Raw genomic sequence first — 27,349 nt, forward strand, 5'->3', positions numbered from 1 at the left:
TACAGTTTCTATACTGAAATGAGAATTCCAGAAAAGGACCTATTGAAATCATCTCCTGAAGTCTATGATTGATTAATACCAAAATCTTCTCCAAATCCTGTATCAAGGGCTATTTATTCCAAATCTGGAATCAGGAAACAAATAACAAAGCAATGTTCACACCTAATCACATTTAAGCAAAAATAATACTACAGATTCTATTTCTGTGGAGTCATAGAAAACCTATTTTGTTCTTTTGAGTGCATTCCCTAAGGAGTATCTTTGGGAAAAACTAGAACAAATCTTCTCCCACCATTGTATTTTGGATGTACACAGCAAAGGAGTAAACAAACAAAGCTCTTCCTCTTTTTCTAAACTCTTTTTAGCTGTTGACAGAACTCTGTGGTTACTGAGTTGATGAACACATTGATAAAGGTTTTAACAGGAGTTGTCCATGTTTAAACCCTGTATCTCTCATCATATGGTTGTGGTGTAATGTGGTACCTAGCCCTGAGATATCCTAAGTGATTGGAGTGAATGGATGACTCTCAGCATGTCATATCCTACAGGTTTGGATGATCACCACTAGCATTCCAAGGCTTCAGCCTAATATGAAACGGATCTATGAATGAATGCCCAGCTAGGTATATAATCCTCTGCAGGCAAAATTTATGTTCACTTTAGGAGAATAAAAATCTAGAAACACAAATAGACACATACACGTGTGCACACTCACTCTCTCTCTCTCTCACACACACACACACACACAAAGTAATGAGGAAAAGACATGTAAGAATCACGAAGGTTTTATTTTTTTCGTCTCTGTTTAGATATAGCATCTAACATACCATAAATCATGGCCATTGGTTTTTTACTTAAAAGGTCATTGGATGTCCAAAGTTGCTAACAATGGGCTTTAAGGCAACGTGGTTGATGGACAAGCTAATTAACACATTTTCAAAGAACTGAATATCCATAAGACATATAGCAAGAAGCTAATTTTGTAGTGTCTGAAATAATGTAAAACCAATGTAAACACACACAGTAATACATTATTCTTGCACGTACTGAAGAGAAGGAATGAGTTAACCATAGTACCAGAGTGATAATAAGCAGTCCAAAAATGTATTAAGCAAATTTTGTATGCAGCCTGTTTTAATGAGTGCTTCATGGAATTGAAATAACAAATAGGAATCATTTTCTAACCTAAGATATTTATAATGTACTTGAAGGAACAAACTAAATATGCAGAAAGCATTTTGAAAATAATCACCAAATAATGTGGACTTTTTCCTTGCTACCAATAAATTCAAGTTTCCCAATCCTAAAAATAAAAACTATATCTTCTTTGACACCATAAATTCCTCGTGTTATTAGAAAAAGGAGCACACTAAAACAGAATTTAGCCTGATTAAAACAAAATTCTTAAGGTACTTCTTTTCTTCTCATATTAGTTTTCAGAAATTTGACTCCTATAGTTAAGCAATGTCCTTCAATGCAAATATAACAATGGCTAAGAGATTCATTATGTATATACACACACATACATTTACATTTATGTATTTTAGTGTTTTGATTCATGTGCAACTAACTATAATAGTGTTACAGCAGGTCCTGTTGAGTAATCTCCAGTTTTTTCTCACTAAAGAATTAGTAGTTAGATAGAAGAAATAAGTTCTAATGTATGATAGCAGACTAGGGTGACTATAGTTAGCAAAAACATATTGTATATTTCAAACTAGGTAGAAGAGAGGACTTGAAATGTTACCAACACACAGAAATGATAAATATTAAAGGTGATGAATACCCCAAATGCCCTGACTTCATCATTACACATGCTATGCATGTCACCAAATACATGTACCCCATAAATACGTAAAATATTATGTATCAATAAATCAACAATAAAATATAGACTCTCCCATAAATAAAAAAAGAATTGGTGAGAATCCTGAAGTATTGAAGCACTATTACCTTGACCTGAAGTCAAAGTAATAGTCTTTGTCCCCAGTCTGGTCTGTATTATTTTCTCACTCTCTCCGAATACACTTACACATGCTGTTTGTGTTGGTATGTCCACATCTTACTTTTTGGTTTTACTTTTAAAAGTGTCCATGTACTTTTATAAGTACAGATTCTAAGACATGCATTTCCATCAATTGATTTTAATGAGTACCTTGCTTTCTTTTTAGGATCTTCGCAAAATACTAGTAGTTTCATTTTCTAAATACAGTGACTGGCTCTAGCTTACTATTTCTGAAGTCTAACTGTTCCTTGATGCTTTCTCTTTAATAGCTCTGTTCTTCCTCCCAGATCACTATTCTCCATTATCTTGCCCTTCCACATGGCAACTGGGAAAGGGCATCTATTTAAAAATACTTAATATCCTTTTTTTAAACAACAGAAATATCACTTCTCATGTGAAATAGATGCAGCAAAAGAATATGGCCGGCATGAGCAGTAAATAACACATCACATATCAAAGAAAAGTCCATCTGGGAAATATATCAAAATAGCCATGCACTTTTATTGACATTTCAAGACAAAAAAATAACATGGAACCCCAGCTCTTCTTTCATGTCTGTACATTTGTTTAACTATAGCTTGTGCCTACAGAGGTAAGCCTGGGAAGAAAAGGAAGCAGTTTTCTTTGTTGTTTTTTTTTTATTGCTATTGTTGCTTTTAATATTAGGCAGCTTAGTTATATTTCAGAAATAGAAATCTAGGTAATAAGTCAGGAAGAAAGCTTGGTATTAAAGGATGCAATCTAGCACACTGCTATATTGACAGAAGGTAGAGCGGTCTGGAAGTGTCTGCCAGCACCTGATATATTGCACTGCCAACAGAAATGGGAAAGGAATTAACATTTTTAAGTGCTTACTAAGTGAAGCACCATGAAGTGGTCATCATTACCTTTCAACCCAACTGCCACGTCCTGCCCAGTTTTTCTTTTGCCCTCCCCACACAAAGAAGAAAAATACTTAATATTCATTTACCCAGTTTTGCCTCCAACCCAGACATAGTTTTGTAACCAAGTGAAGGCTATTGGTGTCAGAAGGGATACTACTGGCCATCTGGGAAGGATTCTCCCTGATAAGAGACATTCAAAGATAAATGCCCACACTTCTGCTTTGGACATTGTCATATAAGGCTGTTACAGCTGGAGCTACTGCAGTCAAGAGAATCACAGAGAAATTGACCTACACCTCTGATGCCATCCAGCTCTTGCACCAACCCAGAGAATCCCTGCCTCTGCATTTATTGTTCTTGGATAAAAATAAATTCCTCGAGTTGAAGTCATTTGCTGTTGAAAATTTTGTTTCTGGCGGTCACATGCATCCTAACTGAACAACATTGTGCCAGGTACTTGTGATATGATCCCTTTTGATGCTTATAATCATCCTGTTAGCTAAGCATTATTCTTTTATTTTAGAGATGAGGAGACTGAGGCTTAAAAAGATGGAGGGACTTGTCCAGTGTCCCAAAGTTCTTATGTACAGAAGTCAGAGTTTGAATCCCTGCGCCTGTGCCTGAAGCACCTGTGTATCTCCACTTACTCATTTTCTGCCATTCTATCACATTACACTGCCTCTCTGTACAGCAAATATTGACTGACTGAGTTAGTATTTCAATCTGGCAGGGAGAGTGTAGGCAGGTATGTCTGTTCTGAGACCGTGGAAAGCACCATAAGAAGTAAGGATTGATCACAAAGACAATTTTTGTTGCGAGACATTCAAAAAACTAAGAATAATTTTAGATATGTTTCTTTTAGGGTAAGAAGGCCGAGGCATACGTATTCTCAGCTATAATTAAATGTGGGTTCACAAATAGAAACTTAGCTTTGCAAATATTATTTGGAGACTACATGACTGCAAGACTTTCCACCACACATTCCATCTTCATTAGGGCTCTCTTGCCTGGTCCTCAATCCTCTAGTTTCTCACAAGTTCCACTTTGGCTGGAATGATTTTGAAATCTGCCTCTAGTAAATGCTGAATGTTTTCAAGTCCTCCCGATTTGAAATTCTACAGGATCCCTGTAAAATGGGAGGGAGAGTACTAAAGAAGGGCAGAGGATATAATATTTCTTTTTCAATACTGGTTGAATTTTTGAAGGGATTTGTTTCAGCAAATTCTGAGATCCTGGCAAGTAACATTGGTTTATTTGTGTGTGATAGCCCTTTTCTAGATGATATTTTGGAAGATGTAAGATTTTCCTGGTGGTTTCTCTTTCTCTTTGCTCTCCCAAATGAGGGGACCGCTTTCTCATTAGCCTGAATATTGAAAATTTCAAAATGCCTGTTGGGCCTCTTTTATTTGCACCAGCCATATTCTTACTGCATAGAAGTCCTCCTTTGGAAATTTTTCTTTTCTCCCCCTTTCTTCCTAAACCTCATCTGTAATGCCCTCTGGGCATTACATAATTTGAACTAATGTGTTTCTAGTGATTCAAATATAAATTATTAGATCATGTACATGTACAAAGTTATACATTCTCAAGACCTTACTCCAGAGTAATAACTTCCTTGTTTTGGGAATTTCAGCCCAAGTCAGAGAGTTTCTCTAAGGGAGCCAAAATGATGCCACATGGGCATTTGCTTTCTATACCAGCCAGCCCTACAGTTTGGCGGTGTGTCCAGGAGCCTTAAGACAAAAACCAGAAAGTGAACAGGAAAATATATTACTATAGTGTATTCTTTAATAAGAAATCGATTCTTGGGAAAACATTGGCTTAAGAAAGGCTTTATAAACTAAGCTAGCCACTGTTAATTTCCTAAACTCACTAAATTAACATTAAAAGCAACCAGAGTGGAAAAAACAAATAAACAAATCCGATTCTCACTGTTTCTAGACCAAGTCCCTAATATCTGTTAACCGGAAGTATTGAGGTAATTTAGTGGTCTCTCCACTTTTACACTTACCAGTACACACCTCTTCTCAGTCGAGTCTCAAAATAGCAGCCTGAATTATCTATACCTCTAAAAATGAAATGAAATCAAGACATGCCTCTGCTCAAAATCCTTCAGTGTTTCTTCTGCTCAGTCAGGATAAAGGACAAATTTCTGACAATGGCTTCACGGCCTTCCTTTGCTCTCACCCGATTCCTTCTTCATCCCCATCTTCTAGTCTCTTCTGCTACTCCAATCACACTGGCTTCCTTCTCTTCACAGAAACATCAGGCACACTTCTGACTCAGCCGTTAGTTACTTCCCTTGCTCAACTGCTATCTTCTCGGTGAAGGCCCTGTAATCATGCTATTTAAAATGTCAAAACCCCCATTGACCGAATGCCCCTCCCCAACACTCTGTCCCCCTTCCCTGCTTCATTTTCTCCAGAGCATTCCATAGTAAATATCACATACTGTACATTTGACTTGTTTATTTGTTATTTGTTTTCTTCCTGTTGTGTTGTCCCAGATCCCTGACTAGAACGCAGCTCTGTGAGGGGAGAAGATTTTGTCTATTTATTTATTTATTTTAATGCTGTATGTACAGTGCCTGTTACATATTAATTCTTCAATAACTATTTGTAAAATGAATAAACTTTCCACCTGCCTAGTCAGGTGGAACAATTTATAGTTGTAAAACTACAATATTACTTGGTTCTAAATAACTTAAGCAGAGAAATAATTTATTGAAATGAGATTGGAAGGCCAAACAACCAGACTCAGAAAACCCCTGAGGCTAAAAAACTTCTCAGGAATTAAAGGAGCTGGGCAGCAGGACACCTAGGCATGGTCTGGGGGCATCCTCACCCTGGATCATCCTCATTCATCTTCAGCTAAGGACATGCCCAGGGTTTCTGCACTTTATCCTCATCACCATGAGCAATTTCTAAGTGAAAGTATGCATCTTTGCATACTTCCTCTAGAGCTGGTGTGTCTGTGCCAGGCCTAGGTCATGTGCCAACAATCCAGCCATTAATGGCCAGGAGAGATAATATGTAACCCTTGTCAACTGCCAAGGGGAAGGCTGAGTTTCGCTCCCCACCAAAATGTGAATAATGAGGGATTCTTTGACATATGAACAGATTTAGATCATGAACAGCCAAAAAACAAAACACATACAAAAATGCACCTAATTTTAATCTATAATTATACATAAAAAGTGCCTTTTATTTGCTTTATTTTGTTTTTCTAGTTATTGATTTTAAATTTTCCTAGTGATACAAAATAGGTATATTAGCTCATTTAATGACTTTGGCTAGAGAAAATTAACACTAAGCCATACCAAGGTAATAAAAATTTTAGCCAGACCTCGATTTTTCCCTTGACACAGCCTATAATTTGTGGTCTATCAGTATTTACTCATTAGAAGAAGAAATGAGTGAATTGAGGGCCTTCAATGACCTATCTGATCTCTTCAGAGTAAACTTTTATGCAAAGGCTAAGAAGATATCTTTTGTATTCACTGAATTTGCATAATAAAATGAACTGCATCAATGGAAAGCAGATGCTCATCTGACTAAATCATTACTCATCCTATTCCCCACAGGGAAACAGTCATGCATAGTATTGAACTAGAGTTCAGATTTATTGCACAACTACTTTTATTTGGTATGGGAGTGTTCCAAAGATGAAAGCAACAAGCCCTCCCATCCTACAAGTCCTTTTTCAATATGACTTCTCTATTGATCTCATCAGACTCACTGAATCTGAGTTGGCCCTGGTGACTTGCCTTAACTCATAGAATGTTGTAGAGGGGACATATGTAACTCTCAGGCCTAGTCCTTAAGATGCTGTGCAGTTCCTCATCTTGACCTCTCTCAGAAGCCAGCTACCATGTAAGGAAGCCTGGGTTATGCACCTGGGGAAGTAACATGGGAAGAAAGGCCCTGGAGGATGAGAGGCACCACACACAGCAGTCAGCATCAACTGCCATACAATGTGAGTGGGGCCATCTTGGTGTTCCATCCTCATTTGAGCCACCAGTGGAATTTAGTCACATGATCAGCTCAGTTGATACCTTGGGGAGTAGAGGAACCAACTCTCTGACCCAGCCCATGTGCAAAATCATAACAAATAATAAATTGTAGTCTCAAGCCAATATGTTTTGGAATGGTTGGTTATACAATAAATAGCTCAAATATTTAGAATATAAAACTTTTGTGAATTTAATGACATTAAACTTTTTTTGAAAAACCATTAGGAAATAACTACTTTCCTTTGGGCTAAGGAAGAATGCAGTAGGTAAAAACTGGCTCCAGTTGAGCTATACTTATCAACACATCCCAAGCCATTTCTATCCTAGTTCCAACATCCTGGGCAGGAGTGATATCATCTACTTCCCCCAAGGTCCACAGTAACTTATCTGACCAGTAGATCCTTCTCTAATGTCTGAAGGTGTCTTTTAGCTTCTATGATGAATCAATGCTCTAACAAAAAAGGCAGACAGGACTGCTCTCTGATGATGTAGATGTTTTGACTGCTTTTAAGAGATACTGATTCCTTTTTTCTCAGCCTGCATTCTTCCCTCTCCTTCCACTCCTTAACTCTACAATGGAATCTTTTAGTTATGTATACAGTGAGAATTTTAGTCTAATTTGATGGCATATGCATGGCAACAGTAGGATGGTGGAGAAGAGATTTGGGCACAAATGATTCTACCATGTTGGAAGTACTTTTTTTTTAAACATTATACTTTATAGCAAATTTCACAACAGCCCCAAATTTCAGAACTATTCCAGGTAGCCATTTCAATGAAGTTTGGATATCAGACATTTAATTTAGATTCAGTCAATATTATAATAAAATAATAATGCTTAGTTATTAATTTTTATTTTTTTTAATTTATTTTGAATTACTTAAAATATTTAGTCTCTGATGTTTTGCTATATTTCTTTTTGTTTGTTTTTATTGTGATCAAAACACTTAACATGAGATCTATCTTCTTCACTATATTTCTTAAAGCAAGTTTTATATCCATTGTTTCCAGAAAGTTTCTGGTGCAGCTACACTTTCAGATATTTTTTAAAGCACCCAATAGTTATGTTAAAGAGATAAACTTAAGTAACATTATACATTTCAGTGAGGCCATTTTTTAGAAATTGAACTATGATCTTCATAGTGAGTTTTTGCTTATGTACCTAGATGACGCTAATATCAATTAAGAAACAAATTGTTATTGCACATCTACAAGGCACCAGTTCTAGGAAAGGCAATTTGAAAAATATGTTAGAAATATTAGATGTGGTTCCTCCCATAAAAGAGTTAACATTCCATTCAAAGTAGAAAAGCCTTAAACAAGATATGATGACTGTTAAGAATAAGAAAGTGCCTGGGTTCAGGCTCCACTCTACCACTTTAGGCAAGTACTACTCAGTGCCTCAGTTTCCTCCTCTGTAAAATGAGGTAATACTATTACTTATACCATAGATAATCCATGTAAAGTGCTTAGGGACATAATAAATATTCATTCATGTAAACCTTTATTGCTGTCAGATACTCTCCTGCCACTGAGAAGTGTATGTCTCCTTGGTCATGTTGTTTTGGCTCAGTATTCTACATCTCACTGTCCACATCTGTGAAAAGGCATGTTTCTAATTATATTCTTCGGTGCAGAAATTCAATTTTATATATCACTTTTAGAAAAAAACAAAGAATTACATACTAAAATGGGAAAATTTGTTGGCATGACTTGTGATCCTTATTATTACAATAATTAACATTTTTAAATCATGTAAATATAAATATGCTTATTTTAAAAATAATTTTGTTTTCTACCTTTAAAATAAAATGTTATTCAAAAACCTTAAAAACTGAAGGGATTGGAACTTTTGTTCATTTAATTTACATTGTCATTAAATCTGGATGTCATGAATTAACTTCTAAATATATCAAGATCAATAATTGTACTGATAGTTCAATCAGTAACATAGTTACTTGTTTATTTAACTAACAGGTTTTTATTTCTCTTGATTAAAGCACCTATTACATTTAAACTTCATTTTTTGAGAACATAAAATGATATGTTATGTATTTCACTCTTAGTTCTCCAAAATACTAGTTTTTGTTTTGTCCTATGTTAGTATATTAGATGAACTTGGTGAAGCCATCAGTCATCAGTCAAATGAAAGTCTTAAAAATTGACCTATCAAAACAGTTTTACATGCCTAATAGCTTATTGGTAGAAGTTAATGAGTGGCAAACTCATCTTAAAGGAGGAGTTATAAGTTTGCATACTTTATTAATTATATATCATTAAGAAGTTGTTTTTCTATACTTGCTGGGGTTTTTCATGTTATTAATCCTGGTTCTATTAAAGGAATAAGCATTTCCTCCCAGTGCCTGTTTTGTTACAAATATGTTAAACTGAACAAAGGGTCACTGTTAATAACCATTTGATAAAACGGTTGCATTTATTTTTTACTCAACATCATTTGCTTTCAGAGGACAAATAATCTACCTTCCATGATAATCAAGCAATTTGAAGAATGGGGAGGGGGAGGTGGGTAATAATTTTTTAAATCTTGTCTCTAAATTTAACAATAGTATGTTTCTATTGCAATTTATCACAGAAATTTTCAGAAAACAATTTGACCAAATAACAGGTTGATGAATTAACAACTCTTGTGAGCTCATAGCCACAGAGGTTTACAGCCTGCCATTCTAAATTAAAAGCATACAAGACTGTCTTTGAAGATTTTCTTTACTGGTAAGTTGCCTAATCAAATTTTGCCACATCACTGGTATGTTTTTGTCATGTGTTTTGAAAAAAAAGTAAGAATTATTAAAAACTATATATAATGAATTTAGACAAATTATATTAAAATTAAAATTAAAACGTTTTATATAAAAAACTATAGTTCCTTACAACATAGTGCAAAATAACTTACCTATCTTTTAAAAAAAGCAAGTAAACTCAAAGTAAATCTTCGGGGAAAAAGTTAAAAATATTATTTATGGAAGTCAAGCATTTTTTTTTTGTCCAAAAAGCCCTAGGACAGAAGCATTACATTCCCACAATTTAAACCATTACCTATAAAAAAAAACTACTTTAAATAGCATAGTACTTTATGCATTAGTATGATTAGTATATATGAGTATTATTAGTAGTATTTTTTGCTATTTTTGGATAACAAAACCTATGAAAATATTGGTGACCAGTAAAATCTGGACATGTTTTAAGTGATGGAACAGTAACTTTAAAATCCTTCTGAAATTTATGATTAAAATGAACTATGTTTCTTAAAGGTATGATGGACTATAAGAAGAGACAAGACTTTAAAATGTTTGAGTTACTAAGATTCTGTTCTCTAATTCCAGTTTTTAAAGCTGTGCTGAAATAACATCATATCCATTCTATAGTCTGCAAGGAAACAAAAATAAACTAATGTAACCATATTCTATTTACTTAGACTGTATATGAGTGCATCCATGCTAAGATACTATTCATTAGGTAAATATTTGAAAAAATATATTAATTAAGATAGGGGAAAGTAATCTGATTATAATAATCTAAAACATCTTTAAAACCACTTGAGTTTCATAGAAATTAAAGTAAAGGCATTTTCTAATTCCGTCAATAAGCAAAAAAGAAAAAGAAAAAAATTAGCATTCAGATCAATATATGCTACCTACATGAGAAAATTATATCAATGCTTGCTGAAGAATAAAACTTTTCTATTAAATTATTTTTTTAGATTGTTTCAATTTGCTGGGCTTTTTGAATGGCTTTTCTGGTCCAACTTTTCTGAAACATTTCCCCTACTTTACTGGAGTAAAGTTCAGCACATGTCTATCTTGAATGTACAGTAATACCCTTTACCTTGTCAAAAAAAAAAATCAATAGATTTGAATCTGTTAAACTTGGGAGCAGCTGTTCTGAAAATGCAGCCTCTCTGCTATGGTGGAGATTTAAGGCTATCACACAAAAATAAAACAACTCCAGGTTAACTCAATGGAAAATTGTGTGGGAACATCAGTGCAACAGTAAGCATTGTGACTCCATTATTTATTAAACATGTTTCTAGAAAAACCACTACTTAGGTGCAGAAGCCGGTGAACACTACCAAGATCTATAAAGCATTTCTAACTACGGTGCTTTGCACTAATTTAGTCTCAAGAAAGACTCCAGGTTTCAATTCAATTCTGCAAATATTTGTTGAGCAAGAGCATTCAATATTTGTTGTACAAGTGAACCCAGCACTCTGCCAAATGTCCTGCCTTGACAAAAATCTGAAATCTATATTTAACCTTAGGCAAAACTTTTAACCTAGCTGGGGCTCAATTTCTTCATAAGTAAAATGAAGAGATTGCATTAAACAATATCTAAGATTTTAAAATTCTATGATTATGGGATTGGCTTGGACATAGTGATATCATATTATCCTTTGCTTTTAATCTTTGCCTTTACCTCACCAATAGGATAGACACAGTGAGGCTGCCCATTCCATTTGATGCAAGGTACAGCAGTCATTAGAGGAAGGAGGGAACGTGCTCAGGGAGGCAGGCAAGCACTGTGGTGGAGAGCACGGCCTAGGGAGTGGGACTGTCTGGACTGGGGTTCTGCCCTTCTCAATCATATGATTTGGGACAGTTACTTTACCTCTTGGGGCTTCAGTGTCCTCATTCGTAAAATGGGGTTAATGTTTGTATTTACCTTATAGAGCTGTTGTAAAGATTAAATGAGTTAATGTACGTAAAGCACTTGGAACAGCGCCTAACACAAAGTACATATTCAACAGGACTAGCCATTATTATTCTGGTCCAAGGCACAGATGTCAATGGCCTAGTTCAAATCTAAGCACTAACATTGACTAGGACATCGCTTAGTTACTTTAATTAATAGTAGCCACCTCACATGATTACTCACAGAATTATATATAAATGAATATCTATATGTCATCAGCAACAGTATCTGACATAAAACACATAAATTAATAAGCAGTGGAGCCAGGATTACATATAACTACACTCTTTCCTAACACATAGCAACAGCCGGAACTCAAACATTGGGAAATGAGTTAAAAATGGATGCATGTACAGAAGTCTTCGGGCATTGGATTTTTATATATAACAGGTTTATAAATGTAATTGTAGTGAGTTTTTGCAAAATAAGTATTCAGAACAAGAATGTACAGCCTTTAATAACATGCAGAGTGTATAGTGAATGCTCAATAAATATTACCATTGATTGTTATTAAATCCTCTTTCTACAGAGCTGAAACAGTCTTCCTTGGCTTTAATTTAAAAGTTAACTTTAATATGTAATAAAAGTATATTCAATAATGGAATAAATTTTTACATAATAAAGTTTAAGGAGAAAATAGTTTTCTCATGACATAGTTAAACCTATGTCACAAATATGATACAGTAGCTTGAAGAATTACAGGAAAATTAACAATTATGGCTTAATAAAATCGGATTCATTGAAATGAAAGATATTCTGCTTCAGTTAAGTCCATTGAATCAAATGAATCCCTTGTAGTGTATAAAAGAATAACTGACAAGTGCTTTGGCTGCTAAGCTTCTCTGTACTCTTTGCAGAAACCACTAGTTTTTAAAAAGGAGTTCCCTTTCACTTAGCTAAAAATCGAAGTTACAAGTGCATCAAAATATTGTCTAAAGACACTGTTGCCCATGAATTGACACAAGGTGTAATGAAGGAGGATGTATGTCAAACCCCATTAGTAAATCCTTAGAGAATGTACATGCTATTGAATTAGGTTAATAATATATACAGTCAGTAATAAAGACTTTCTACAAAATTATTTTGTAGAAAGATATTATGTGACATCTACACGAAAGAATTTGTATAACCAAATATGAATGCCGGTTAGGGCAAAATGTCAGGATAAATATTACAACTTATGGTTGGAAGTAAGGCCCTGATAGTGTTAGACTCTATAGTTAGATGCACGATGCTCAAAGAGATAACAAAACAACCATTGACTCCAGCGGCTAACTTTTATTTTTTCGCCTCTCTGCATATGCTGCAACAAGTTCATTTGTGCAATATATAGCACATGCATAGTTAAAATTGGGAGTATTTCATCTGCATGTAACATCTTTCCTTTCCCATTGGGAAGGACTAAAATGGATTAGAAGTGGCATTATTGGGGAGGATTTTTGCTTTCAGCTAAGGTGGAATAAAAGATATTGAATTTACTCTCTTACTGGAAACTACTAACAACCCAGCAAAAAATAAAACATTTATGTTCAGGCATTGGACACCAAGTAATGCAGAACAATGATCCCCAACTTACAGCCTAGAGAGAGTTTTCATGATGCCATGAAGAGAGAGAAAACCCAAGTGGAGCTTAGAGCTCTCCCAGAGTTGAGGAGACAGAGGCAGGAGTATGGGGAAGGCAAGTTGGTTAGGGTTTTGAGGACAAAGTCCCAGAAAGGAGAAAATTGTAGAGAGTAAGAAAGCTCCAGTGATCTGCAGAGGGTCACCCTCCAGTCTTCAGCTCATTACTAATCAGCACATGTAAGAAGGAAATTCTTCAAATTTGTGGAGGCACCACCCAACAAAAAGGAGCAGGGGAACAACTCTTGGAACTTGCAAAGGCCCAGGAAAAGCTTGTCTTCCCAACAGCCAGTGTGGAAAATGTCGCAATTCACAGCACATCAGGAAATCAGAAGTGTATTGCCTTAATGGTGGGACAGGATCAGCCCTAGACTATAGGCTATTCTGTTCCTGCCTAACAAAGCTTTAAAGCAAGGCTCAGAAGATTCAAACTAATTTTTTCTGGTTTTTAATTTTTAATTTTGGCTTTAACTTAATTATACATATTTATGGGGTACAGAGTGGTATTTCAATACATGTATATAAAATATAATAACCAGTTAGAGTAATTAGCTTATCCATTTGTCATTTGTTTGGAGACACTCAAAATCCTTTCCTCTAGCTATTTAAAAATATACAATGTATTATCATTAACTATAGTCACCCTACAGTGCGATAAAACACTAGAATTTATTTATAAATAACTGAATCTCAGATGAAGACTCAGATAATATGTATAGGAATATAAAAATATCCAGTACCCCCAAAGGTAAAATTTACTACCATGTCTAGCATTCAATAAAAAATTACCAGCAATGCAAATAAATGGAAATGATTCACAATGTGGATGAAAACCTACCAATAGAAACATATCCAGAAGTTGCACAAATGATATGATTATTAAGCAAGGGCATTACAACTGTTATTGTAACTATTTTATATAATTATAGACATTTTATGTGTTTAAGAAGCTAGAGGAAAGATTGAACATGTAAACAAGACCCAGATTGAAGTCCTAAAAATATCTGAGGTGAAAATAACATTTAATGAGATTAACAGCAAATTAGACACTCCACAAGAAAAGATGAGTAACCTGAAGACATAACAATTAAACATGTCCAAAATTAAAGAGAGGATAAAAGACTAGAAAACAAATGGACAGAGCATCAGAGAGGTGTGAGACAACTTCCAGTGGCCTAACATATGTGAAATTGGAGTCCCTCAATGAGAAGGGAAAGAAGAGGAACAGAAAAATATTTGAAAAATTATGGTCTAAAATTCTCCAATTTTGATAAACACTATAAACTGATAGATCCAAGAAGGTCAATGCATGCTGAGTACAAGAAATAAGAAGAAAACTTTGCTAAGGTACACCGTAATCAAATAGTTTAAAAGTGGTGATAAAAAGAAAATCTTAAAAGCAGCCAGAGGGGCTGGACACAGTGGCTCACCTATAATCTCAGCACTTTGGGAGGTTGAGGCGAGCACATGAGTTCAGGCCAGGAGTTCGAGACCAGCCTGGCCAACATGGTGAAACCCCATCTCTGCTAAAAATACAAAAGTTAGTTGGGCCTGGTGGCACATGCCTGTAGTCCCAGCTACTCAGGAGGCTAAGGCAGGAGAATCACTTGAACCCAGGAGGTGGAGGTTGCAGTGAGCCGAGATCACACCACTGCACTTCAAACAGGTTGACAGAGTGAGACTCTGTCTCAAAATAAATAAATAAATAAAATAAAATAAAATAAACAAATAAATAAAAGCAGCCAGAAGGGGAAAATACATTATGTACAGAGTGGGAAGAAAGATGAAAGACAACAGATTTCTTCTTGGAAACAATGTGAGCCAGAAGATAGTGAAACATCTTTAAACTATTGAAAGAAAAAAGAAATCCCATGAACATAAAATTCTATAGACAGCACAAATACATTTGAAAAAGGAAAGCAAAAGACATCCTTCGATATAGAAAACAATAAAATGATTGATCATCAGCAGAAATGTCAACAGTGGTTCCTCCAGGAGAAGAAAAATGATATGAGATGGAAAGCTGCATTCAATTGATGAGCACAGGAAATGGTAAATATATGAGTAAACATAAATGACATTTTTTCCTTTTGTTTTAAAAATCTCTTTAAAAGCTAATTGTTTAAAGCAAAAGTAGTAACAATGTATCGTAAGGGTTAAAACACATGCAGAAGTAACATGTAAGTATGCTGTTATATGATACTTACACCGGGCACGGTAGCTCACACCTGTAATCCCAGCACTTTCGGAGGCCGAGGCAGGTGGATCATGAGGTCAAGAGATTGAGACCGTCCTGGCCAACATGGTGAAACCCCGTCTCTACTAAAAATATAAAAATTAGCTGAGCGTGGTGGTGCACGCTAATAGTCCCAGCTACTTGGGAGGCTGAGGCAGGAGAATCGCTTGAACCTGGGAGGTGGAGGTTGCAGTAAGCCAAGATCACGCCACTGCACTCCAGCCTGGAGACAGAGTGAGACTCTCTCAAAAAAAAAAAAAAAGAATAGTATCACTTGAAGGTAGACCATAATAACTTAAAGATATATACTATAAACCCTAAAGTCACAACTAAAAAATATAATGAAGTAGGGAGTCATACATAATAAGACAGCAAATGAGATAAAATGAGAAAAAAATAACATTATAGGTATAGCAAGTGTGAACTTTCACAGTCAAGAATTAGGTTTTCCAAAAATATGGTACTCTTGTCTGCTACTTAGCTCATGGGCCCATCTTACCTTTTCAAGGAACCTTAGCCACATGTAACTTAAAATGCATACTCTTTTAAGCAAATTCAGTCCATCCAAGTCTTTTTCATTCCTTCTTCCCTGATGTGTCCCTGAATTAATCCTTGTTCCTGGGGATATTGTTCTGATGTTATTGAGAGCAAGTTCCTGAACCAGACCCTTGTGTCTGATGTTAACTCTATGTTAACTCTGTTATTACTTATCTGCCACAGGCTGGTTGCTTAACCTTTTTATTTTTTGGTGCTTTTTCACCTGTAAAAAAGGGGGTAATAGCAGCTACTTTGAAGGATTACTGTGAAGAGTCAATAGATAACATATGTAGATGGTCCGAAGGTAGTGAGTTATCTCAATTGATTATTCAGTCAATTACAGATCAAACTCCTTGTCCTACTCTTTCCCCATTTTCACTACTGCACTTGATGTCTTAACTTAAAAAAATAACATGTGAAAGCACTTAGTACAATGCTCTTTGCTTGTCAAGCCCTAAATGAGTGACATTTTTATTCTTATCTGTATATAGTATTCTCTGCTCTGCTGCAGCCACATAACTGTTGATTTTGCCTTTCGTCTTCATGAGATGCCACCAGCTCAGTCAGTAACTGCACACTTCCTTTGTAGGTTTCAGAAATATTTTTGCAGTATTTACAGGCTGGGATGTTCCAGGATTCAGTGGCACAGACTTCCAGTCCAGCTTCCTGGACACTTCACTCCACCACTGCTTCTCTATCGCTCTGTCAGAAACATCCACTCTTCCCAGGCCAAACTCTACAAAGCAGGATGGAAATTCTAACCATGTTTTTCTGGGCCACCAGGACCTGACTTTCTAACTTTCAAACTAATATTTTCGATTGGAGCTTTTTATTTTTATTTTTTATTTATTTTATTTATTTTTTTTGAGACGGAGTCTTGCTCTGTCACCCAGCCTGGAGTGCAGTGGCACAATCTCATCTCACTGCAATCTCTGCCTCCTGGGACTACAGGCACCCACCACCACGCCCGGTTAACTTTTTTTTTTTTTTTTTTTTTTTTTTTTTTTTGTATTTTGTTGTAGAGATGGAGTTTCTCTGTGTTAGCGAGGCTAGTCTCGATCTCCTGACCTCGTGATCCACCTGCCTCGGCCTCCCAAAGTGCTGGGATTACAGGCGTGAGCCACTGCGCCCTGCTTGATTAGAGCTTTTTAAAACTTCTGTTTGGAAATTCAATTCTAACTAGCGACTTCTGTTACTGTAGCTATCCTGTACATGGCAGTCACTGTATGTGGCCAGTGACACTCTGCATACATGCTGAGGGCTATAATAGTGGTAAGAAGGGTGGCAGGAAGAAACCTAGTAATATGGTCAAGGACTGTCTGCTCCCTAGTGGCAGCAGAAAAGTTAATCATTTACTTAACTTTAACTGTTACTAGCAACAGATTAATTACGATGTATTGGAAAGTAATTGGTATCCACCATAGTGCCTTGTTGCCACAGTGAGCTGCTGCCTGTGACACTGGAGCTGCTTGTTACCAAACACAGGCAGAGATATGGAAACATCTGGAAGGTCCCTGAGGTACCATAGCTATTGAGGTGGCCCTGGTTATCTCTGGAAGCTGCAGCTGTCTCTTGATTCAGTCTAGAAAAACCGAAGTCCATGAGACAACAGGTTATCAGTTGAGTTTCGGCTCTGTTATGAACAACTCCATGGAACAATTTCTGAGTATTAGAGACGTAAACATCTTCCTGCATCTTCCTTTTATGGTGATTATCTCCTCTGCTAGTCCAGGAGCCTTTTGAGCAGTGGGACTTACTTACACCTTGACATTCCCTATAGACCCTCGCAGAATCTTAAAGGAAGCTGCTACAGACACCACCACCACTATATATGAAGAAACTATCCCAGACACTGCTCCAGGGGCTCCACAATCATAATTCTATTTAATCCTCATAGGCCACTCTAAGTTATATATTGCTTTCCTATTGATGGATAGAATGATTGAAGTTCTAAGTAGTTGTAAGGTTTGTGCAAGGGCACAAAGCATGGGGCCAACATTCTACCCAAACCTGTGTTACTCTCACACCTTATTTTCTGTCACTGCAATAAAATATCTCCTTCACATAACACCTCTCAGTGGTGGCTGTTTCTGAGCTTGTCTGCTTGCACTGTATCCATACACAAACCTGGTGGTTAGACTGTCTTTGGAGGGAATTTGAACACAAGAGAGTAGAAACAAGATTTGTGGCTATCAAGATAATAGAGGCAAGTAGTATTACCAAATATACAGTCCATTGCTTTAGAAATTTTGCAAAGAACAGTCAATAATAATTAGTTTTTACATACATCTAGTGAAAATATGATAAAATGTTGTTCAAAATTTTATAGCTAGAGGTGAAAAGAATTCAGAGGAAGTTGTCTGAGTATTCCTAATGCTTTCAATCTACAGCAGCCAAAGCCATATTTATTGTTTTCATAGAAAGTAAGAAGTTTGGGATCATAGTTACTAACTTTGGTCTGGAACTTCTGGCCTACGGCCTGTGTTTTAGAACTGCTAGATTGCATTGTACTCCAAAGAGGCATGTGACCAGTGAGCAAAACCAGATGGTGAAGTATGCAAGGCCTATCTTCTGCTGAACTCACTTCTCTCTTATGAAGCCCTCTGACCTCCCTGCCTGCCCCAGTTCTCAGTGCTCCGCTCCACACATCCAGGAGAAAACAAATCATTAGTGTTTTCAGAAAAATTTGTCTGTTAGACGTCTCTGAGACTTTATAACTACCCCAAAGGCAGAAACTCAAAATAATCTTTGGTGATACCGATGACTAATAGTGGTATTTCAACTTCTGTGTCTTCTGATTAAGGGAATTATTTTGGTGCCAAATTATACTCTGTAAGGGGCAAATTGTATTACTAAATCTGCCACTTGCCCTCTCCTCTCAGGTGGCTTTGCTTAGCACTACAAAGATGGTAGAAAAACAGTTTTCCAGTAGCCACATAAGAGACTATGCACAATTCCAGATTTGATTCCACACTAATATAGAGGTGGAAGAGTTGCTAATAGTAGAGCTCGATGAATGGAAAATTGCAAGCTGGTTTTTCGTTTAGGATGGGCTGCTGTTGACCTCGCTGCTGACCTTGCTGCTGACCTCACTGCTGACCTTGCTGCTGACTTCACCGTTTCTCCCAATATATGTCAGCTGAGTGGACTTTTGGCTGCCGGACATGAAGAAATCATATAATCAATTAAGCAATCAATCAACAAATATATAGTGGACTTCTGCAATTTGCAAGGCTCTGTGGCAAATTGTACAAGGTATGCAAAGATGACTTATAAGCAATATTCCTGTTTTTAAGTAGTATGTGACAACTACCAAATGAAGAGTGTACATGATATATATTACAGGAGTCAGAGGAGAAAGCTACTCCTGTGGCTGAAGTTCTAGAGAAAGTTTTGTTTTTTAGCAGCATTTGCCATATAGAGTAATATTATAGGAAAATAACATAATTTTTAAACTGAATACTTTCTTCATGCCAGGCACTGTGTTAAGCTGTTTACACAAATAGTATGCGGAATACTTAGATGAGTACATGGCACGTGGTAAATGCTCAATAAGTATTACTTTTTGTTTTTAATCATTGCATTAATCCTTCCATACCCTTTTAGTAGGAGCTATTATTTCCCACATACTATAGTTGACAAAATGGAGGCAAATTAAGGTTATATGACTTGTATAAGCTAGTAAGTGTGAACATAGATACTGACTCCAGAGTCAATAAGGTTGGTAAGTAAGGCAGAAGCTGGGGGCTGGGGTTGGGGTTTACACCCAAGGAGCACCAGGGGCATATGAATAGAAGTCATAACGTTCTAATCCTGTTCAGGAGGTCAGAAAGTTAACTAGGGTAGAGAACAGGATGAAAAGCTATGAGAGGTCTGCCTAGAAAAATAATTGAGAATGAATTATGATGGATTTCAATATTGACTGGGAAGGATATTTTCAAAATCTGCTTATCTTACACGTAGTAGAGAGCCGATGGTATTTATACACACACACGCACCTGTGTGCAGGCACATGCGCTGACATAAAGGAAAGGACGTTTTTGTGAAGATTAAGCTAGGGATATTATCAGAGCTAAGTTATCCATTAAGCACAGTAGGCACAGTCTCTAGAGCCCAAAGTACATTTAGCACATTTCAAATGTTTTATAATATTTTAAGTGAGAAGGACAAATGAATATAATCGTAATAATTAATACTTAATAATGAATACAGACTAGATTATGTTTATCTTTATAGCAATAGAATCATAAAATCTAATTTTTAATTTTTTTCCTGGACAGGGGAAAAGTGTTTGTGGCCCACAGAAATCATGCTGCAGCCCTGGGTGATATGCTGAGACATCTGGGGGAGGAAATGACTAGGCATAAGTAAAACAGGGAACTACTAAAATCCTTATGCATGCAGGCTTTGACTAAGTTTGTGACCATGACAGTGTAAAATGAAAGCCAAAAGCACTGCAAATAAAAAGCGTAGAAAAGTTAACTGCCTCTGTATGTATGGGCGTTTGGTGGAATGTGAGATTATGAGTTACATCTGGGGACACAAAATGTAAATTTGATTCAAGATAGTGGGCAACTATATGCATTTACTTTCTTTGCATTTCAATGAGGCAGGCAGTTAGCAAATGGGCATGATTATTTGCAGGCGGCTAAAAGCAATACAAGTGGGCCTAGACAGGTTAGCATAAGGACCCATCTCCCCAGTAGGAAGAAACTGTTACAACAGACTATAACAATGAAGAGATTGCAGACATCCTGCTTTAGGCACAGATAAGAATATAACAGGCCGGGCGCGGTGGCTCACGCCTGCAATCCCAGCACTTTGAGAGGCCGAGGCGGGCGGATCACGAGGTCAGGAGATCGAGACCATCCCGGCTAAAACGGTGAAACCCCGTCTCTACTAAAAATACAAAAAATTAGCCGGGCATAGTGGCGGGCGCCTGTAGTCCCAGCTACTTGGGAGGCTGAGGCAGGAGAATGGCGTGAACCCGGGAGGCGGAGCTTGCAGTGAGCCGAGATCCCGCCACTGCACTCCAGCCTGGGCGACAGAGAGAGACTCCGTCTCAAAAAAAAAAAAAAAAAAGAATATAACAAAAAATAAACTGGGTGGCAACTGGTTAAATCCAAGGTGACCGAAAATTACTCACTGTTGATCCTTGGCTTCACTATGCCCCATTACCATAACATTTCTGTGGGGAAGCCTCCCACTCCTATCATGCACCTGATGCCATGACACTTTCTAATTAACCATATTTAGTTAAGAAAAGGGTGGTACCCCCATTCCAGGTGTTGCTCACCCATTTCCTGGAAAGCCCCTCCCCTAATTATAGAATATTCTGTGCCTTCATCATGCTTATCCATATAATACATGAGCCCTGACCACATGGCATGCGGCTCATTCTTTTGAGCATGCATGCACTCCTCTCTTGAGTGTGTACTTGCTTTCACTCTGCAATAGAGTTTCTATACTTTCACTGTGGTCTTGCTTCCAAATTATTTTGTGTGGTGAACACAAGAAACTGAAATAGACTTCTGGAAGCACCAACATTTCTTGAAACAACAGAAGAGATATATTTTTCAAAATCTACCATACTGCTTAAAAGTAAAAGGCTGAAGCAGCAGACTAGAGAAAGTTCAGGACTCTGACTGACAAAGAAAAAATCAAAGCTGAGAAACCTGAAATAAGCACAGGGAGAGTTGCAGAATTCATGTCAGACTAAAGGAGCCTAAGAATAGAAACTCGTCATAGGACGAGGAGTGTAATAATTCGTTTAAAGGATTGTGGAAAACTAGATCAGTTCTATGTAGGGCAGCTGGCTGAAATGTTTGCCTCTGAGTATAAACCTAATGATAGCTTTCAAAACAAAGCAGAAAATCTGCTGGGCTAAGACAGTTGGTAAAATCTCAACATGACCTTGGTGCTAAAAACAAAATGATGCAGATCCTGGGTGACTTTAAACCCACACAGATATGGAATAAGGGCGGGAGAGAATAAATGGCTCAACACTGCAGTGAAATACACTGTAATGTTCTATTTCCTTTCATATCTCAGCATATGAGAGAAGTCCTGCCTTCCTTGCCAGCTTTCTGCCCATGAGCCCATCAGCCAGCATAATATTGCCCTTTCAACTTCAGAGTCTAACCAGATTTCTCATTATTTTGGGGGATGGGCTGGTAAAGAATCAGACATATAAAACTTCTAAGAAAACCCATGTAGGTAACTAATCAACCCAGTCTTCCATTTGCAAATCTATAAGAACAAAATAACTTAGGAAAAGGCAACAGCATTAAAGAAAATCCAATAGAACAGCTCAGCTATAGAAAATTTAAACATTTTAATTCATTCTTAGACAGACTGAAGAGGCTTTAAAAGCCATGAGTCAAGTACAAGCTGCCAGGAAAAAAAGATACAATAAGAGAATTTAAAGTAGAGTTCTTAGAAAATAAAATATGATTGCCAAAAAAAAATAAGTACACAACACATACATATACATATAGGTGAAAAAACAACTGATAGAGAATTCTCAGGCAAGATGGCCGAATAGGAACAGCTTTGGTCTGCAGCTCCCAGTGAAAACCAACGCAGAAGGCAGGTGATTTCTGCATTTCCAACTGAGGTACCTGGTTCATCTCACTGGGACTGGTTAGACAGTGGGTGCAGCCCACAGAGGGCGAGCAGAAGCCAGGTGGGGCATTGACTCACCTGGGAAGCACAAGAGGTTGGTGAACCCCCTCCCCTAGCCAAGGGAAATCATGAGGGATTGTGCCATGAGGAACTGTGCTATCTGGCCCAGACACTGTGCTTTTTCCATGGTCTTTGCAACTCACACACCAGGAGATTCCCTCAGGTGCCTACACCACCATGGCCTTGGGTTTCAAGCACAAAACTGATGGCTGTTTGGGCAGACACCGAGCTAGCTGCAGGAGGTTTTTTTTATATCCCAGTGGTTCCTGAAATGCCAGTGAAACAGAACCGTTCACTCCCCCTGGAAATGGGGCTAAAGCCAGGGAGCCAAGTGGTCTTGCTCAGTGGATCCCACCCCCATGGACCCCAGGAAGCTAAGATCCACTGGCTTGAAATTCTCACTGACAGCACAGCAGTCTGAAGTCAACCTGGGATGCATGAGCTTGGTGGGGGTAGGGGCATCCACCATTATTGAGGCTTGAGTATGTGGTTTTCACCTCAAAGTGTAGACAAAGCCACCAGGAAGTTCAAACTGGGTGGAGCACACTCTAGTACCTCAAAGCCACTGTAGCCAGACTGCCTCTCTAGATTGCTCCTCTCTGGGCAGGGCATCTCTGAAAGAAAGGGAGTAGCCCCAGTCAGAGGCTTATAGATAAAACTCCCATCTCCCTGGGACAGAGCACCTAGGGAAAGGGGCGGCTGTGGGCACAGCTTCAGCAGGCTAAACGTTCCTGCCTGCCAGCTCTGAAGAGGGCAGCGGATCTCCCAGCACAGTGCTTGAGCTCTGCTAAGAGACAGACTGCCTTCTCAAGGCAGTCTTGACCCCCAGGCCTCCTGACTGGGAGACACCTCCCGGGAGGGGTCAACAGACACCTCATACAGGAGAGCTCCGGCTGGCATCTGGCAGGTGTCCCTCTGGGACAAAGCTTCCAAAGGAAGGAGCAGGCAGCAATCTTTGCTGTTCTGCAGCCTCTGCTGGTGATACCCAGGCAAACAGGGTCTGGAGTGGACCTTCTGCAAACTCCAGCAGACCTGCAAAAGAGGGTCCTGTTAGAAAGAAAACTAACAAACAGAAAGCAATAGAATCAACATCAACGAAAAGGATGACCACGCAAAAACTCCATCTGAACATCACCAACAGCAAAGACCATAGGTAGATAAATCCAGGAAGATGAGGAAAAACCAGCACAAAAAGGCTGAAAATTCCAAAAACCAGAGTATGCCTATTTTCCTCCAAAGGATCACAACTCCTTGCCAGCAAGGGAACAAAACTGAATGGAGAATGAGTTTGACGAATTGACAGAAGTAGGCTTCAGAAGGTGGGTAATAACAAACTCAGAGTTAAAGGAGCCTGTTCTAACCAAAGGCAAGGAAGCTAAGAACCTTGATAAAAGGTTAGAGGAATTCCTAACTAGAATAACCAGTTTAGAGAAGAACATAAATGACCTGATGGAGCTGAAAAACACAGCACAAGAACTTGGTGAAACATACACAAGTATCAATAGCTGAATCAATCAAACAGAAGAAAGGATATCAAAGATTGAAGATCAACTTAATGAAATAAAGCAGGAAGACAAGATTAGAGAAAAAAGAATGAAAAGGAATGAACAAAGCCTCCAAGAAATATGACATTATGTGAAAAGACCAAATCTACGTTTGGTTGGTGTACCTGAAAGTGACAGGGAGAATGGAACCAAGTTGGAAAACACTCTTCAGGATATTATCCAGGAGAACTTCCCCAACCTAGCAAGACAGGCCAACATTCAAATTCAGGAAATACAGGGAACACCAGAAAGATACTCCTCAAGAAGAGCAACCCCAAGACACATAATTCTCAGATTCACCAAGGTTGAAATGAAGGAAAAAATGTTAAGGGCAGCCAAAGAGAAAGGTTGAATTACCCACAAAGGGAAGCCCATCAGACTAGCAGCAGATCTCTCTGCAGAAACCCTACAAGCCAGAAGAGAGTGGGGCCAATATTCAACATTCTTAAAGAAAATAATTTTCAGCCCAAAATTTCATATCCAGACAAACTAAGCTTCATAAGCGAAGGAGAAATGAAATCCTTTACAGAAAAGCAAATGCTGAGAGATTTTGTCACCACCAGGCCTGCCCTACAAGAGCTCCTGAAGGAAGCACTAAACATGGAAAGGAACAACCGTTACCAGCCACTGCAAAAACATACCAAATTGTAAAGACAATCCACGCTATGAAGAAACTGCATCAACTAATGGGCAAAATAACCTGCTAACATCATAATGACAGGATCAAATTCACACATAACAATATTAACCTTAAATGTAAACAGGCTGAATGCCCCAATTAAAAGACACACACTTGTAAATTGGCTAAAGAGTCAAGACCCATTGGTGTGCTGTATTCAAGAGACCCATCTCACGTGCAAAGACAAACATAGGCTCAAAATAAAGGGATGGAGGAAGATTTACCAAGCAAATGGAAAAGAACAACAAAAAAAGGGGTTGCAATCCTTGTCTCTGATAAAACAGACTTAAACCAACAAAGATCAAAAAAGACAAAGAAGGGCATTACATAATGGTAAAGGGATCAATGCAATAAGAAGAACTAACTATTCGAAATATATATGCACCCAATACAGGAGCACCCAGATTCATAAAGCAAGTTCTTAGAGACCTACAAAAAGACTTAGACTCCCACACAATAATAGTGGGAGACTTTAACACCCCACTGTCAATATTAGACAGAACAACGAAATGGAAAATTAACAAGGATATTCAGGACCTGATCTCAGCTCTGGACCATGCAAACCTAATAGACATATGCAGAACTCTCCACCCCAAATCAACAGACTATACATTCTTCTCAGTAAACATTGCACTTATTCTGAAATTGACCACATAATTGGAAGTAAAACACTCTTCAGCAAATGCAAAAGAACAGAAATCATAACAGTCTTTCAGGCCACAGTGCAATCAAATTAGAGTTCAGGATTAAGAAACTCACTCAAAACCACACAACTACATGGAAACTGAACAACCTGCTCCTGAATGACTACTGGGTAAATAAAAAAATTAAGGCAGAAATAAATAAGTTATTTGAACCCAGTGAGAACAAAGACACAACGTACCAAAATCTCTGGGACACATCTAAAGCAGTGCTTAGAGAGAAATTTATAGCACTAAATGCCCATAGGAGAAAGTGGAAAAGACCTAAAATCGACAACCTAACATCACAATTAAAAGATCTAGAGAAGCAACAGCAAACAAATTCAAAAGCTAGCAGAAGACAAGAAATAATTAAGATCAGAGCAGAACTGAAGGAGATAGAGACACAAAAAAACCTTTAAAAAGTCAATAAATCCAGGAGGTGGTTTTTTGAACAGCTTAACAAAATAGATAGACCACTATCCAGACTACTAAAGAAGAAATGAAAAAAGAATCAAATAGACACAATAAAAGGGGAGATCACCACTGATCCCACAGAAATAAAAACTATCATCAGGTGCTATAAACACCTCTATGCAAATAAACTAGAAAATCTAGAAGAAATGAATAAATTCCTGGACACATACACCTTCCCAAGACTAAACTAGGAAGAAGTCAAATCCCTGAATAGACCAATAACAAGTTCTGAAATTGAAGCAGTAATTAATAGCCTACCAACCAAGAAAAGCCCCAGACCAGACAGATTGACAGCCGAATCCTACCAGAGGTACAAAGAAGAGCTTGTACTATTCCTTCTAAATCTATTCCAAACAATAGAAAAAGAATGTCTCCTACCTAACTCATTTTATGAGGTCAGCATTATCCTGATAACAAAGCCTAGCATGGACACAACGACAACAACAACAAAATTTCAGGCCAATATACCTGATGAATACTGATGCAAAAACCCTCTCAATAAAATACTGGCAAACCAAATCCAGCAGCACATCAAAAAGCTTATCCATGATGATCAAGTTGGCTTCATCCCTGGGATGCAAGGCTGGTTCAACATAAGCAAATCAATAATCATAATCCATCATCACATAAACAGAACCAATGATAAAAACCACATGATTATCTCAATAGATGCAGAAAAGGCCTTTGATAGAATTCAACACCCCTTCATGCAAAAAACACTCAATAAGCTAACCATTGATGTAACACATCTCAAATTAATCAGAGTTATTTATGACAAACCCACAGCCGATATCATACTGAATGGGCAAAAGCTGGAAGCATTCCCTTTGAAAATTGGCACAAGATAAGGATGCCCTCTCTCACTACTCCTATTCAACATAGTATTGGAAGTTCTGGCCAGGGCAATCAGGCAAGCAAAAAAAATAAAGAGTGTTCAAATAGGAAGAGAAGAAGTCAAATTGTCTGTTTGCAGATAAGATGATTGTATATTTAGAAAACCCCATTGTCTCAACCCAAAAACTCCTTAAGCTGATAAGCAACTTCAGCAAAGTATCAGGACACAAAATCAATGTGCAAAATTCACACATATTCCTATACACCAATAATAGACAGAGAGCCAAATCATGAGTGAACTCTCGTTCACAATTGCTACAATGAGAACAGAATACCTGGGAATACAACTTAGAAGGGATGTGAAGTACCTCTTCGAGGAGAACTACAAACCACTGCTCAAGGAAATAAGAGAGGACACAAACGAGTGGAAAAACATTCCATGCTCGTGGA

At 37.6% G+C, this 27,349-nt stretch overlaps 1 long non-coding RNA gene across 1 annotated transcript in view, besides 2 other annotated features; it reads right to left on the minus strand.

The window, feature by feature from the left end:
• Positions 1–5,130, minus strand: part of LOC124902978 (uncharacterized) — a 39,971-nt gene extending 34,841 nt beyond the window's left edge. The window contains exon 1 of the long non-coding RNA XR_007063396.1: positions 4,901–5,130. This is a non-coding gene — a long non-coding RNA (uncharacterized LOC124902978). The remainder of the gene's footprint in view (positions 1–4,900) is intronic.
• Positions 5,050–5,250: a silencer, noted in NCBI's record as "peak1870 fragment used in MPRA reporter construct". NCBI's record gives its function as "represses an SCP1 promoter by STARR-seq MPRAs in K562 erythroleukemia cells {active_cell/tissue: K562}" and the evidence as "EXISTENCE:reporter gene assay evidence [ECO:0000049][PMID:32103011]".
• Positions 20,223–20,517: an enhancer, noted in NCBI's record as "tiled region #14654; K562 Activating DNase unmatched - State 6:EnhF". NCBI's record gives its function as "activates a minimal TATA promoter and a strong SV40 promoter by Sharpr-MPRA in K562 cells {active_cell/tissue: K562}" and the evidence as "EXISTENCE:reporter gene assay evidence [ECO:0000049][PMID:27701403]".

The sequence above is a fragment of the Homo sapiens genome, chromosome 12 (genome assembly GCF_000001405.40).
Source record: "Homo sapiens chromosome 12, GRCh38.p14 Primary Assembly".
Classification (NCBI taxonomy): domain Eukaryota; kingdom Metazoa; phylum Chordata; class Mammalia; order Primates; family Hominidae; genus Homo; species Homo sapiens.